At 44.3% G+C, this 13254-nt stretch overlaps 1 non-coding gene and 1 pseudogene across 1 annotated transcript; one reads left to right on the top strand and one right to left on the bottom strand.

The window, feature by feature from the left end:
- The first annotated feature begins 377 nt into the window (after positions 1-377).
- TRC-GCA5-1 (tRNA-Cys (anticodon GCA) 5-1) lies at positions 378-450 on the top strand. Its single transcript has one exon. It is a non-coding gene; the product is annotated as a tRNA-Cys (tRNA).
- RPS12P25 (ribosomal protein S12 pseudogene 25) lies at positions 7389-7772 on the bottom strand (annotated as a pseudogene).

A 13254-nucleotide genomic window follows, 5' to 3' on the forward strand; every position in this document is an offset into this window, starting at 1 on the left:
AAGCAATTCTCTTGCCTCAGCCTCCCTAGTAGCTGGGATTACAGGTGCCTGCCACCACGCCCAGCTAATTTTTTTTGTATTTTTAGCGGAGACGGGGTTTCACCATGTTGGTCAGGCCGATCTCAAACTCTTGACCTCACCTTGGCCTCACAAAGCGCTGGGATTACAAGCGTGAGACATCGTGCCCAGCCCAGGATGTCATTTTTCAAGTGTTCCCTTTCAGTTTATTAGTGGCCAAGGGACAAGCCAAAGCAGATGATGGATAATTAAGAAGGTGGGGCTTTAGAACACAAAGCTTGCCAGAACTCTAGTGTGGGTGGAACTTGATTGTATTGAGTCACCATAAGTGGACAAGGAAGGAACCTCTAACAGTTGAAGGGGGTATAGCTCAGTGGGTAGAGCATTTGACTGCAGATCAAGAGGTCCCCGGTTCAAATCCGGGTGCCCCCTGCCTGAAAGTTTTCTTACTTCCATTTTAAAGTAGATACCGTCAGCCACAGTGTCACCAGAAAAGATGAGAAAACTTTCCTTTTTTTTTTTTTTTTTTTCCCTAGACACAGCACTCCTTTAATCCCACAATGCTCTGTGGTAATTTTAAATCAGATACATTGAAAGGATATTAACTTTTACAATAATATTGTACAATTAAAACTATATATGTAAATCCAAGAAACTGGAGGAGTCTACATATACTGAGTTTCTTATTTAACAATAACTGATGATTTTTATATAATTGAGAATAAATCTTTATCAGATGATGAGACTCATAGAGGATAATAGGTCAATCATTATGGTAATTTTTTAAATCTCTTTTTTTATTACTATTATTACACTTTAAGTTTTAAGGTACATGTGCACAATGTGCAAGTTAGTTACATATGTATACATGTGCCATGCTGGTGCGCTGCACCCACTAACTCGTCATCTAGCATTAGGTATATCTCCCAATGCTATCCCTCCCCCCTCCCCCCACCCCACAACAGTCCCCAGAGTGTGATGTTCCCCTTCCTGTGTCCATGTGTTCTCATTGTTCAATTCCCACCTATGAGTGAGAATATGCAGTGTTTGGTTTTCTGTTCTTGCGATAGTTTACCGAGAATGATGATTTCCAATTTCATCCATGTCCCTACAAAGGACATGAACTCATCATTTTTTATGGCTGCATAGTATTCCATGGTGTATATGTGCCACATTTTCTTAATCCAGTCTATCATTGTTAGACATTTCAATTGGTTCCAAGTCTTTGCTATTGTGAATAATGCCGCAATAAACATACATGTGCATGTGTCTTTATAGCAGCATGATTTATAGTCCTTTGGGTATATACCCAGTAATGGGATGGCTGGGTCAAATGGTATTTCTAGTTCTAGATCCCTGAGGAATCGCCACACTGACTTCCACAATGGTTGAACTAGTTTACAGTCCCACCAACAGTGTAAAAGTATTCCTGTTTCTCCACATCCTCTCCAGCACTTGTTGTTTCCTGACTTTTTAATGATTGCCATTCTAACTGGTGTGAGATGGTATCTCATTGTGGTTTTGATTTGCATTTCTCTGATGGCCAGTGATGATGAGCATTTTTTCATGTGTTTTTTGGCTGCATAAATGTCTTCTTTTGAGAAGTGTCTGTTCATGTCCTTTGCCCACTTTTTGATGGGGTTGTTTTTTTCTTGTAAATTTGTTTGAGTTCATTGTAGATTCTGGATATTAGCCCTTTGTCAGATGAGTAGGTTACAAAAATTTTCTCCCATTCTATAGGTTGCCTGTTCACTCTGATGGTAGTTTCTTTTGCTGTGCAGAAGTTCTTTAGTTTAATTAGATCCCATTTGTCAATTTTGGCTTTTATTGCCATTGCTTTTGGTGTTTTAGACATGAAGTTCTTGCCCATGCCTATGTCCTGAATGGTAATGCCTAGGTTTTCTTCTAGGGTTTTTATGGTTTTAGGTCTAACGTTTAAGTCTTTAATCCATCTTGAATTGATTTTTGTATAAGGTGTAAGGAAGGGATCCGTTTCAGCTTTCTACATATGGCTAGCCAGTTTTCCCAGCACCATTTATGAAATAGGGAATCCTTTCCCCAATGCTTGTTTTTCTCAGGTTTGTCAAAGATCAGCTAGTTGTAGATATGCGACATTATTTCTGAGGGCTCTCTTCTGTTCCATTGATCTATATCTCTGTTTTGGTACCAGTACCATGCTGTTTTGGTTACTGTAGCCTTGTAGTATAGTTTGAAGTCAGGTAGTGTGATGCCTCTCCAGCTTTGTTCTTTTGGCTTAGGATTGACTTGGCGATGCGGGCTCTTTTTTGGTTCCATATGAACTTTAAAGTAGTTTTGTCCAGTTCTGTGAAGAAAGTCATTGGTAGCTTGATGAGGATGGCATTGAATCTATAAATTACCTTGGGCAGTATGGCCATTTTCACGATATTGATTCTTCCTACCCATGAGCATGGAATGTTCTTCCATTTGTTTGTATCCTCTTTTATTTCCTTGAGCAGTGGTTGGTAGTTCTCCTTGAAGAGGTCCTTCACATCCTTTGTAAGTTGGATTCCTAGGTATTTTATTCTCTTTGAAGCGATTGTGAATGGGAGTTCACTCATGATTTGGCTCTCTGTTTGTCTGTGGTTGGTGTATAAGAATGCTTGTGATTTTTGTACATTGATTTTGTATCCTGAGACTTTGCTGAAGTTGCTTATCAGCTTAAGGAGATTTTGGGCTGAGACAATGGGGTTTTCTAGATATACAATCATGTTGTCTGCAAACAGGGACAATTTGACTTCCTCTTTTCCTAACTGAATACCCTTTATTTCCTTCTCCTGCCTAATTGCCCTGGCCAGAACTTCCAACACTATGGTGAATAGGAGTGGTGAGAGAGGGCATCCCTGTCTTGTGCCAGTTTTCAAAGGGAATGCTTCCAATTTTTGCCCATTCAGTATGATATTGGCTGTGGGTTTGCCATACATAGCTCTTATTATTTTGAAATACGTCCCATCAATACCTAATTTATTGAGAGTTTTTAGCATGAAGGGTTTTTGAATTTTGTCAAAGGCCTTTTCTGCATCTATTGAGATAATCATGTGGTTTTTGTCTTTGGTTCTGTTTAGATGCTGGATTACATTTATTGATTTGCGTATGTTGAACCAGCCTTGCATCTCAGGGATGAAGCCCACTTGATCATGGTGGATAAGCTTTTTGATGTGCTGCTGGATTCGGTTTGCCAGTTTTTATTGAGGATTTTTGCATCAATGTTCATCAAGGATATTGGTCTAAAATTCTCTTTTTTGGTTGTGTCTCTGCCAGGCTTTGGTATCAGGATGATGCTGGCCTCATAAAATGAGTTAGGGAGGATTCCCTCTTTTTCTATTGATTGGAATAGTTTCAGAAGGAATGGTACCAGTTCCTCTTTGTACCTCTGGTAGAATTCAGCTGTGAATCCATCTGGTCCTGGACTCTTTTTGGTTGGTAAGCTATTGATTATTGCCACAATTTCAGCTCCTGTTATTGGTCTATTCAGAGATTCAACTTCTTCCTGGTTTAGTCTTGGGAGAGTGTATGTGTCGAGGAATTTATCCATTTCTTCTAGATTTTCTAGTTTATTTGCATAGAGGTGTTTGTAGTATTCTCTGATGGTAGTTTGTATTTCTGTGGGATCGGTGGTGATATCCCCTTTATCATTTTTTATTGGGTCTATTTGATTCTTCTCTCTTTTTTTCTTTATTAGTCTTGCTAGCGGTCTATCAATTTTGTTGATCCTTTCAAAAAACCAGCTCCTGGATTCACTGATTTTTTGAAGGCTTTTTTGTGTCTCTATTTCCTTCAGTTCTGCTCTGATTTAATTATTTCTTGCCTTCTGCTAGCTTTTGAATGTGTTTGCTCTTGTTTTTCTAGTTCTTTTAATTGTGATGTTAGGTTGTCAATTTTGGATCTTTCCTGCTTTCTCTTGTGGGCATTTAGTGCTATAAATTTCCTTCTACACACTGCTTTGAATGCGTCCCGGAGATTCTGGTATGTTGTGTCTTTGTTCTTGTTGGTTTCAAAGAACATCTTTATTTCTGCCTTCATTTCGTTATGTACCTAGTAGTCATTCAGGAGCAGGTTGTTCAGTTTCCATGTAATTGAGTGGTTTTGAGTGAGATTCTTAATCCTGAGTTCTAGTTTGATTGCACTGTGGTCTGAGAGATAGTTTGTTATAATTTCTGTTCTTTTACATTTGCTGAGGAGAGCTTTACTTCCAAGTATGTGGTCAATTTTGGAATAGGTGTGGTGTGGTGCTGAAAAAAAAGTATATTCTGTTGACTTGGGGTGGAGAGTTCTGTAGATGTCTATTAGGTCTGCTTGGTGCAGAGCTGAGTTCAATTCCTGGGTATCCTTGTTGACTTTCTGTCTCGTTGATCTGTCTAATGTTGACAGTGGGGTGTTAAAGTCTCCCATTATTAATGTGTGGGAGTCTAAGTCTCTTTCTAGGTCACTCAGGACTTGCTTTATGAATCTGGGTGCTCCTGTATTGGGGGCATATATATTTAGGATAGTTAGCTCTTCTTGTTGAATTGATCCCTTTACCATTATGTAATGGCCTTCTTTATCTCTTTTGATCTTTGTTGGTTTAAAGTCTGTTTTATCAGAGACTAGGATTGCAACCCCCTGCCTTTTTTTGTTTTCCATTTGCTTGGTAGATCTTTCTCCATCCTTTTATTTTGAGCCTATGTGTGTCTCTGCATGTGAGATGGGTTTCCTGAATACAGCACACTGATGGGTCTTGACTCTTTATCCAATTTGCCAGTCTGTGTCTTTTAATTGGAGCATTTAGTCCATTTACATTTAAAGTTAATATTGTTATGTGTGAATTTGATCCTGTCATTATGATGTTAGCTGGTGATTTTGCTCGTTAGTTGATGCAGTTTCTTCCTAGTCTCGATGGTCTTTACATTTTGGCATGATTTTGCAGTGGCTGGTACCAGTTGTTCCTTTCCATGTTTAGTGCTTCCTTCAGGAGCTCTTTTCGGGCAGGCCTGGTGGTGACAAAATCTCTCAGCATTTGCTTGTCTGTAAAGTATTTTATTTCTCCTTCACTTATGAAGCTTAGTTTGGCTGGATATGAAATTCTGGGTTGAAAATTCTTTTCTTTAAGAATGTTGAATATTGGCCCCCACTCTCTTCTGGCTTGTAGAGTTTCTGCCAAGAGATCTGCTGTTAGTCTGATGGGCTTCCCTTTGAGGGTAACCTGACCTTTCTCTCTGGCTGCCCTTAACATTTTTTCCTTCATTTCAACTTTGGTGAATCTGACAATTATGTGTCTTGGAGTTGCTCTTCTTTAGGAGTATCTTTGTGGCGTTCTCTGTATTTCCTGAATCTGAATGTTGGCCTGCCTTGCTAGATTGGGGAAGTTCTCCTGGATAATATCCTGCAGTGTTTTCCAACTTGGTTCCATTCTCCCCGTCACTTTCAGGTACACCAATCAGATGTAGATTTGGTCTTTTCACATAGTCCCATATTTCTTGGAGGCTTTGCTCATTTCTTTTTATTCGTTTTTCTCTAAACTTCCCTTCTCACTTCATTTCATTCATTTCATCTTCCATCGCTGAAACCCTTTCTTCCAGTTGATCGCATCATCTCCTGAGGCTTCTGCATTCTTCACGTAGTTCTCGAGCCTTGGTTTTCAGCTCCATCAGCTCCTTTAAGCACTTCTCTGTATTGGTTATTCTAGTTATACATTCTTCTAAACTTTTTTCAAAGTTTTCAACTTCTTTGCCTTTGGTTTGAATGTCCTCCCGTAGCTCAGAGTAATTTGATCATCTGAAGCCTTCTTCTCTCAGCTCGTCAAAGTCATTCTCCATCCAGCTTTGTTCCGTTGCTGGTGAGGAACTGCGTTCCTTTGGAGGAGGAGAGGTGCTCTGCTTTTTAGAGTTTCCAGTTTTTCTGCTCTGTTTTATCCCCATCTTTGTGGTTTTATCTACTTTTGGTCTTTGATGATGGTGATGTACAGATGGGTTTTTGGTGTGGATGTCCTTTCTGTTGGTTAGTTTTCCTTCTAACACACAGGACCCTCAGCTGCAGGTCTGTTGGAGTACCCTGCCATGTGAGGTGTCAGTCTGCCCCTGCTGGGGGGTGCCTCCCAGCTAGGCTGCTCGGGGGTCAGAGGTCAGGGACCCACTTGAGGAGGCAGTCTGCCCGTTCTCAGACCTCCAGCTGCGTGCTGGGAGAACCACTGCTCTCCCAGCTGTCAGACAGGGACATTTAAGTCTGCAGAGGTTACTGCTGTCTTTTTGTTTGTCTGTGCCCTGCCCCCAGAGGTGGAGCCTACAGAGGCAGGCAGGCCTCCTTGAGCTGTGGTGGGCTCCACCCAGTTCGAGCTTCCCGGCTGCTTTGTCTACCTAAGCAAGCCTGGGCAATGGCGGGCGCCCCTCCCCCAGCCTCGCTGCCACCTTGCAGTTTGATCTCAGACTGCTGCACTAGCAATCAGTGAGACACCGTGGGCGTAGGACCCTCCGAGCCAGGTGCGGGATATAATCTCCTGGTGCGCCGTTTTTTAAGCCCGTCAGAAAAGCGCAGTATTCGGGTGGGAGTGACCCGATTTTCCAGGTGTCATCTGTCACCCCTTTCTTTGACTAGGAAAGGGAACTCCCTGACCCCTTGTGCTTCCCAAGTGAGGCAATGCCTCGCCCTGCTTCGGCTCGCGCACGGTGCGCACACCCACTGACCTGCGCCCACTGTCTGGCACTCCCTAGTGAGATGAACCTGATACCTCAGATGGAAATGCAGAAATCACCCGTTTTCTGCGTCGCTCACACTGGGAGCTGCAGACCAGAGCTCTTCCTATTCGGCCAACTTGGCTCCTCCCCGAGAAAACTTTCAACTTGCTCTTGGGCTGAAATTGTTCCTCCCACATTCCAGCTGACCACTAGGACAAAAAGTCACTTTAGGATCTCCTTTGTCTTCAATTAAGATCAAGTCCCTGAGGAGATTCTAAATCTATAAGTCTGAGAGCTGTGAAGACAATTTGACAATTGGGTGTGTGTCGGAGTACAGATAAAAATGTTCCTTCAACATGTATTTTTGAAAACTTAGTACATGCAAAACTCCATTGAATTAAAACATGAAAGAAGGGCCGTGCGCAGTGGCTCACACCTATAATCCCAGGACTTTGGGATGCCGAGGCAGGCAGATCACCTGAGGTCAGGAGTTCAAGATCAGCCTGAGCCACATGGTGAAACTCTGTCTCTACTAAAAATACAAAAATACAAAAATTAGCCGGGCATGGTGGTGTGTGCCTGTAATCCCAGCTACTTGGGAGGCTGAGGCAGGAGAATTGCTTGAACCCAGGAGGTGGAGTCTGCAGTGAGCCAAGATCATGCCACTGCCCCACTCCAGCCTAGTGACAGAGAGAGACTGTCTCAAAACAAAAAACAACAACAAAAAAACTCTTTGATGACATCCTTTGCCATAGTCCTTAACGCTACACAACTGCAGCCAACCACTTTATGGGGTTTTCCTTCTGTCAGTTTTACAGTGGTCCATCCCTTCCCCTAGTTTATTGTCATCAACCTTAATTAGGGTGATCTGGTGCTCAGCAACAAGGGCCTTCACCAGCCAGCCACATAGGCAGGCTCATTACAGTTGGGGGCAGCACAAGGATGGGCCCAGCACTTGTCTAAGGCTTTGGCAGCTTCTCGAATTCCACGTGCTAGGCCATCATGGATGAGGGCAGCCTTCAGGACCTCTTGTAAAGCAGTATTAAGGTCCATGACACCTCCAGCACTGATGCCTTCCTGGGCCATGGCGGTGGGTTATGGGTGAAGCTGATTCTTGAACACACCTGAGCCTCTGCCTCCGTGACTCAGTGGCGGTGGGGAAAGAGCAGCAGTTTGTCCTTGGTTAACACTCACTGCACCTAAAATGTGGTCTAGGTTGCATGAAAAGGGGTTAAACTTGGCCAAGAAGTTGATTAAGCATTTTGGCCAGTTTGCTTATTACCATTGATGTAAAAAAGATTAATATGTTACAGTCTCTGAGCATTTCTCTTCCGTTTTTTTAGACAAGGTCTCACTCTGTTGCCCAGGCTAAAGTACAGCAGGAGTGATCTTGGCTCACTGCAGCTGCAACCTTGACCTCCCAGGCTCAAGCAATCCTCCCATCTCAGCCTCCTGAGCAGCTGGGATTACAGGCGTGTGCCACCACACCTGGCTGATTTTTGAGGTTTTGGGGTTTTTTTGTAGAGACAGGATTTTGCCATGTTGCTCAGGCTGGTCTAGAACTCCTGGCCTCAAGCCATCAACTCGCCTTGGCCTCCCAAAGCACTGGGATTATAGGTGTGAGCCACTGTGCATGGCCTTGAAGGAGTTTCCATTTTGCCCTACTCCCCAGGTGACAATGAAAAGTAGCAAATGAGCAGGTGATTTTGACAGCAGCACTGAGCTGTCATAGACACCTTGCTAACTAGCTCAGTGTTTGCTTACTTATAGCTTTCTAGAGATAAAAATGAATGGCACACACTGGTTATCAAAAATGCCCATAAATACTGGCCAGGCGTGGTAGCTCACGCCTGTAATCCCAACACTTTGGGAGGCCAAGGCGGGCAGATCACTTGAGGTCAGGAGTTCAAGACCAACCTGGCTAACATGGTGAAACCCCGTCTCTACTGAAAATACAAAAATTAGCCAGGCATGGCAGTGTATGTCTATAATCCCAGCTACTCAGGAGGCTGAGGCAGGAGAATCCCTTGAGCCCTGGAGGCAGAGGTTGCAATGAGCCGAGATCGCACCACTGCACTCCAGCATGGGCAATAGAGTGAGACTCCATCTCAAAAAAATAATAATAATAATGCCCACAAATAAATACTGCCTCATGTCCCATGTTGCTGTGGACACCCTAGAATCCAACTGGCCCAACATGGTTTGGAGGGCACTGCCAACCTCCTAGGCATCCCCCAACAAGGGTCCTCAGAGACATCCTTCATCTAAGACCAAGTCAGTCCCTCCCTATCTAGATCTGTCCTGGTCTAAATCTTCCACCTAACCATCTCCAAAAACAATTTCAGGCTGAACTCCATTTCTTCTTGCATTTCTCCATTTGTACGTGTTGCTAAAAGGCTCTGGTCCCACTCTAAGTCTGTCTTCTCCTGTTCATCCATTGTACTGCCACCGGAATGATCTTTCTAGATCTTTGCTTTCGATGTCTTCCTGTGCCTCAGACAGAGTGTGTGGCCTTTTGTGATCCGACCACATATGCCTCTCCATCCTGTTGCGCCATCTCTGCCTCACACCTGGTGTTCTTGGGACACCACATTTCAAGCCTGTCCCCCACACACCTGGGCCTCTGCTCAAGCCACCCAACTCCTTTTCATCCAGAAAAGTCCAACTTTTAAGGCTCAGTGTAAAAGACACCTCAGGGAAGTTTCATTTCCCCAGCACTTGACGCAACTAGACACTTGTTATGTTAGATGGACAATGTTTTTGTTTTTGTTTGTTGTTGTTGTTTTTGCCAGCATGATTTCGTTTTCATTCCTACAACCCTAGGAAATAAGTTTCCACACTTTACTGAAGAAAACAACTGAATCTCAAGAGAGTGATTTGCCCAAGGTCTTCTGCTAATAAGTGTAGCAGAGCCAGCTGAGCTCCTCCTCAAGTTCAAGACTCTATTAGGCCCCTTGTGTTGGGAAGAATCGGCTTCTTACTGAAGTTGCATTTAAGATCTTCTTGGGTTCAGTTCAACAGTTTCCCCTTTTCTCCCTCTTTCCTTAAGACAGACTGCCTGTCTCCCACAGTGCCTTCTGGCCTGGGCCTGGCTATCGTATCTTTGCTCACATCTCCCTGCTTGTACTCTTGGCTTCACGTGAATAAAAGCAGCTATTGCAATACCAAAAAGGATATTCTCTGTAGACGCCATAATCTGAGCAAAGGTGCACAGACACAAATGCTCCTGGTAGTCCAGGGCAGCCAGAAGTGGGGTGCCATGGTGGCTGGGAAATCGGCTCTGCTTGTGTTGCAGTATTTTTGTGTTTGTTTTCATACAGACAGGGTCTTGCTATGTTGCCCAGGCTGGTGTCAAACTCCTGGCCTCAAGTGAACCTCCCATCTCAACCTCCCAAAGTGCTGGGATTACAGGCACGAGCCACCGTGCCCAGCCCGAGTTCCAGTATCTTTGGACATGAAATGGAGTTATCGAAAGAAAAAGGCCAGAGCCTTAGAGAGATTCTGGCTAGAGTTAGGGGTATAGCCAGTTTAAGGTGGCTGTTGAAAACGTGGCAGTGGATAATTCCCTCAGTACAGCATCATGTACTGGAGGACTCCAGGGCCCACTGTCTACAAATGCTAGTTTGAAAGACGGCTCTGGTCAGATGAGCCTGTCACTAAATTACAGATTATCTAATCCCACAAAACCCTATACCCCATGGACTTTAGTGTTCACAACTCTGACAATTTCCAAAGTACAGAAAAAAAAATTATACCAGGTGCAATTTAAGAGTTAGGAGTTAGAAAGTGCTCCAGTTTTGTACAGTAACTAAAACATCCTATTCATGATGAGAAGAATTATAGACTGCTATTGTGGGTTCCATCATCTCTCCCTAATTATGGTAGGTCTGAAATGGAAAATGCAAATATAACTGCAAAATTAACATTAAATCAGAAATTTTTTAACAATTGGAAGCTGGTCAGTAGTGGCTCACCCCTGTAATCCCAGCACTTTGGGAGGCCAAGGCGGCAGATTGCTTGAGCCCAGGAGTTCAAGACTAGCCTGGGCAACATGGCAAAAGCCCATCTCTATAAAACTGGAAGCTTAGCTTGTGTTATCGGCTAGATCAACTTGCTTAATCTCTCAGCCAGTGAGTCTTTTTAGTGAAAGATAAAGTTGCTTTTAGTGACAAAGTTTTACTGCCCTCGGCCATGAGAATCTCCAAGGCCAATGGAAATGATCAAAGCTAAGCTTGCTGATCACACTAGCAGGTACCTTGATTCTTAACTTTACTCCTAAGGAAAAGGCACTGACCTTACCTGGAAATGCAAAAGAATTCAAAAGCTGTGAAGGGGAAGGAAAACAGGGAGAGAAGCTCTACAGTGTGTTGGTGGTGGAAGGGGTCCAGGGTTGCCTGGACTCAGGCCAGCTTGGAGTGTGCCCGGCAATGCTGGGCTTCTGATCCTCTAGGAGCCAGCATCTTAGGCTGTAAGACAATACTACCGTGGACCTTCCAGTGTGGTTGTGAGAATTAACCATGTAAAGCTCCTAGCATAGTGCCAAGCACGTAACAGGCACCTAAATATTGGTTATCTTTGCTTTTCCAGTTCCTAAATAAATCAGCAGTTAAACCCAAGGGATGTGTAAGGATCCCACTGGGTCTCATTGATCAGGAGACTGCATCATTCTCAGCCACAAGTACAAGTTGCAATCTCCAGTCAAAGCCCTCAGGGATATGTTCAACAACTGTCTGTACCTATGAGCAAGTCTTTTAAACCAGAAAGTGATTAAAAGCATTTACGTGGCTCCCCCTGAAAAGGAGAGGGGACTAAATTCTGTTACTACATGTCAGGATAGTGGTTACTCCTGGTCGGGGGGAGGCACCAGGAGTTTTTGGAGGACAGCCATGTTCTGTTTCTTAATCTGGGTGCTGATTGGTTATACAGGTATTCAATTTGAGAAAACCAAGCTGAAGTATAAATGTATAATAGTTCAATAGGTTTGTTTTTGTTATTGAGACAGGGTCTTGCTCTGTCACCCAGGCTGGAGTACAGTGGCATCTCCGAGGCTCAGGCAATCCTCCTACCTCAGCCTCCTGAGTAGCTGGAACTACAGGCGTGCACTGCCATGCCCAGCTTTCGGGAGGAGGAGGTTTTCTTCGTAGAGACGGGGTTCGCTTGCCACGTTGCCCAGGGTGGTCTTGAACTCCTGGGCTTAAGTGATCCGCCCACCTTGGCCTCCCAAAGTGCTGGGATTACAGGCATGAGTGACAGCGCCTAGCCAGGACTATGTATCTTAAACCTAGGGAGTGAAAATCAAGACTAATACCCGATCTCTTCTACTGTGCAAGAGGATTCCTCAACAGACCCCGACCTGACAGCTGCCAGAGTGTAACCCGGAGAACCCAAGCTGTGAAACTGCTACCACTGAGCCTTGCTCAGCCAATGCCATGGCTACAGAAAGGGGGTCTGCCAGGTAACCCTGGCTGCAGAAAAGTCTGAGGAACAGCTCTAAGTACAGGATAAGTGGTGAGTGAGAACGTGGGGGCCCTCTAGTCACTAGAGAGAATTCCTTCCCTCAATAAAGGAATATTCATGACAAGCACAAAGCTATGGTCCCAGTCAGCATACTGATCTGGGTGGGGCATGCTATCTAGCAAAGAGCTGGGAACAACAGGCTGTGGTCATGAGACTGACATCCACTCCACAGGATCATGGTTTGGGGGTACTTGGCTATGCAGTGCAATGGCGCAATCTCGGCTCAGCCCAACCTCCGCCTCCCAGGTTCAAGCAATTCTCTTGCCTCAGCCTCCCAAGTAGCTGGGATTACAGGCATGCACCGCCACACCCGGCTAATTTTTTTGTATTTTTAGTAGAGACAGGGTTTCTCCATGTTGGTCAGGCTGGTCTCGAACTCCCGACCTAAGGTGATCCCCCCGCCTCGGCATCCCAAAGTGCTGGGATTACAGGCATGAGCCACCACATCTGGCCAGCTATGGTTTTTAAAAACCTCTTATTTGTCAACTGCAGTATTTGCAGGTAAAATATTACCACCCTAGAAACATGCCCCTTACTTGGCCTCTGCTTTGAAAGCCACCATCAGCTTGAGAGAGACGGTGGCCAGAAGGCACTGATGGAATGAGAGGAAAGAGCCAGCACAGTCAAGATGCAGGAAGATCCCTTTATGATGGCGAATTGGATGGTACACAGTTCTAGAGTAGGGCCTCAGTCACTGGGCCCCAGGAGGCAGAAGGAGCAGGGTTGAGAGGGACGACACACTCCAGGGCTCATGTCACACCGATACACGCGCCAGGAATGACCTCGATATACTTCCCTAAAGCTCAACCCACCCACCAGTTCAGTCAAGAATTATACTTTCATTCTTCATGTTTGGCCACTGAAGATCAAATCCACCATGATGATAGGATTTCAGCACAACGGGCCCTTTCCAGTCACGACAGACAGAAACAAAAATTTGAGAAGAAACAAAAATTCCTTTGACTTCTCTTGCAAGGACCAAAGAGATAAATTTTTTCTTTACCATCTGTTGAAATATTTATATAGACTTTAAAAAAACAACTAACAGTCC

This window comes from Homo sapiens, chromosome 15 (genome assembly GCF_000001405.40).
Source record: "Homo sapiens chromosome 15, GRCh38.p14 Primary Assembly".
NCBI lineage: Eukaryota > Metazoa > Chordata > Mammalia > Primates > Hominidae > Homo > Homo sapiens.